Here is a 2,986-nt window from a genome sequence, read left to right as displayed (position 1 = left end):
ACGCCCAAGTGCCTGTTCTCTGCTCTGCTCACTATAGCCCCTGCCATGAAAACCAGTTGTCTTTTGAATGAAATCAATCCTGCTGCCCCAGCCAGAGCAGATGAGGGCAGAGACAGTGCCTGACGCCACAACTGCCCACCAGTGATGCTCCAGGTGGAGGGGCTGCTACTGGAGAAGGATGACCCTGGGAGAAATTCTGTGGAATCCAGAGGAAAAGTGTGCCTTGGAGCAGAGCTGCAGCTGCACCCTGACAGGAATACTGTGTCCGTCCCCTCCCCTCCACTCTCTCGCCTTCCTCCACACCCCCAACAAGGCTTCGGGGACCATAGTTTTAGTTCAGTTCCACAGAATATCAGTGGTGGGTCATGAACATGGAAAAGACGCTCACATGAGGAAAGACAATCAGCAAGTCAATCAATTGCATCTTACTGACATTTCCAGTCTCGAGGATAACTATGCAAATGTATGCAACTGTGGTCTTTTGCCTTCATCACATATGTGGAAGTAACAAGTGAGCCTGGCTTCCTGTTAGAAATCAAAGTCATTTTCAGTATTCAAATAATTATCTTTAAAATAGTTTCCTAACAATTAACTCTAATAACATATGTTCAAAAGAAATAGAAATCTTGAATCTCCTAATACTCTTTCCTGGAATCAGTTGGTATTCTGGGTAAAAACAGCACCCACATGGTTGAAGTCTGAACCGCACATTTTTACCCCCTAGGCACTGAGTAAATGCACCTTAACTTTAACTCTGTTAGAGAAGAGAACACAGGATCTAGCTACGTTTTCAGATGTTCTAGAGTTTGGGTGCTGAGCTCTTCACTTTAGACAGACACTGTCACCATAGGGCCTGCACACACATCTTCACAAATGAATGAGTGGATGAAGGTAAACGGCAAAGGCCTTTCCCAACCAAAGGAAAAACACTTGATTCAGCACTTTAAGAACAATGAAATAAATTTTTCAAACCACTTTTAATGAGTGGGAAAAGAATGTGTGTATAAGTAACTGAGTGAATACATTATTTCTAGTTCAACAACGTGCTTAAACTTCCTAGGTGAAAGAGTGTTTGGACCAGACAGTAGTGGCAGATGTGTCTGGAAACAGAAAAGATCAGCAGAGAAGGAAGGAACAGGAGGGCATGGAGGCTGTGGGCCTGTCACTCAGCACTGCAGAAGTGGGGCAAGAGGATGGCAGGAAGTGAGGGATGCAGCAGGGAACAGAGCAGATGCCTCCACCAGCAACCAGGCCCCATGTCCAAGTATTCCCATTTCATCCTCACAACAATCGGATACATAGCATTTTTATTACTCCCATTTTATAGGTGAGTAGAAATGATTCCACTGAGATAAGCAATTGACACCTAGGCCATCTTATGTGGAAAGCATTTGGGAAAAAACAAAAACAAAAAACGGCAGACCTAGGTAACCAAATAGACGTGATGATGAAAATGGCCCAAGTCATGAGGATAGACATCACTGAATAAAACTAGACAGGTGGGGAGGTGGAGGCAGCACTTTGTCCTTTATGAATAAAAGCCAAACTTCTCCACATGTTTCAAGTCTCTGTAAGATCCACCGCAGTTCCCTTTCCAGGCACTTCTGTGAATTCTCCTCATGTGCTCCAGGCTCCAGCCTTTAAGAAGGCACAGCTTAATTTTTAGTAGTTTCAAATCAAGAAAAATGAGGGGCAGGGAGGAAAGAAGGGAAAAAAGTGAAAACATTATTTTGGAGACTTGTAGCCAGAAAAAATTTTAAAATTCAGTCCAAACTAGAAAACAAAGGAAACTTTAAAGCATTAGGCGAGACTAGAATCTAATAACAGGTGTACTATAGTTCATTTTGAAATATAATTTTTCTTTCTCTAGTACCCGTTTTCACTAATGACAAATAATAGGACAAATTTATGTGTAAAATAAGCGTTAGTCTTTTTATGCTTGGACTGTTTGCATAAAGTCAGCAAGAATAATTATTTGCCACATAGTCTCTTTTATTTTTTTAATTGGCTTTGCTGGAACTTTGTTCATAGGGAATCTCAGATTACACTTCCAAGACTTGAGCCCAGCCACAGATTTATCTGTGCCTGCAAATACCTGTATTAATTGGGTGAACTCCTCACCAAGTTCCCAAGATAATTTGGGGCTCCTGGGCCTGTCAGAAAGTGACATTCTTCACTTACCACAGGTCAGAAACCTGTACAAGAACTGGGTAGACAAGGTAGGAGGCCAGCTTTCCAAAGGGGCTTTTATTGGCTTTCTAAGTCAACTCTGATCCCTTAAAGCAGTTTCTTTATATCTGAAAGTATGCAACTCCAGTCAAAGACTTGGTTAAATTACCATTGTCCTCAACTGTATCCTGTTACAAAAGAAAACAGATTATTATTGAATTATGCAAATAATTATACTGATACAAATTAAGTATGCTTGCAAATAGCTTTCAAATTTGGAGGAATTAGGTAGAAAGAAATATGCTTTAGATTTTGCTCACGGGAGTGTAGTTAACCCAATTGTTAAAAGCTGTAAATAGTTCAAAGGGGTTTTCTGGACTCAGAAACAAGAGTTAGTAATGTTTCAAAACAAGTCAAAAAAAGATTATTTCAGTTTTCCATTAGTTTAGTCTACATAGTTAACTCTTGTTCTGTTCAATGTTTTTGAATACATTACCTGTCTATGAGAGTCTTGGAAGTTTTTCCTCTATTCTAGTGTCACAGTCTCCAAAGTTATTAAACACCTGCCTTCGAGAGCACCTGTCAGAGTCCTGTAGCTGATTATAAAACCACCTTTTGAAAAGGATATGAGTACAACAACTGTGGATAACAAAAGTTTTAAAACAGTCTTTTAAACACAACTGACAAGGAAATTTGGTTACTTCTATGGCATATAACAATTTTACATAATGATAGTTACTACTGATAATATATACTAGGACATATCAGAATCACAACAATCTCATACAATTCTGAAACACATACTAATAACACACTC

General features: G+C 39.9%; 1 long non-coding RNA gene across 1 annotated transcript; it reads right to left on the bottom strand.

The window, feature by feature from the left end:
- Positions 1-1,290: 1,290 nt before the first annotated feature.
- LOC105378094 (uncharacterized) lies at positions 1,291-2,755 on the bottom strand. Its single transcript, XR_943197.3, has 3 exons — positions 2,666-2,755; positions 2,182-2,357; positions 1,291-1,654 (listed from the first exon to the last, which is right to left on the bottom strand). It is a non-coding gene; the product is annotated as an uncharacterized LOC105378094 (long non-coding RNA).
- Between the last annotated feature and the right edge of the window lie 231 nt (positions 2,756-2,986).

This window comes from Homo sapiens, chromosome 6, assembly GCF_000001405.40.
Source record: "Homo sapiens chromosome 6, GRCh38.p14 Primary Assembly".
NCBI classification, from domain to species: Eukaryota; Metazoa; Chordata; class Mammalia; order Primates; family Hominidae; genus Homo; species Homo sapiens.
This window is presented reverse-complemented; position numbering and strand designations above follow the sequence as displayed.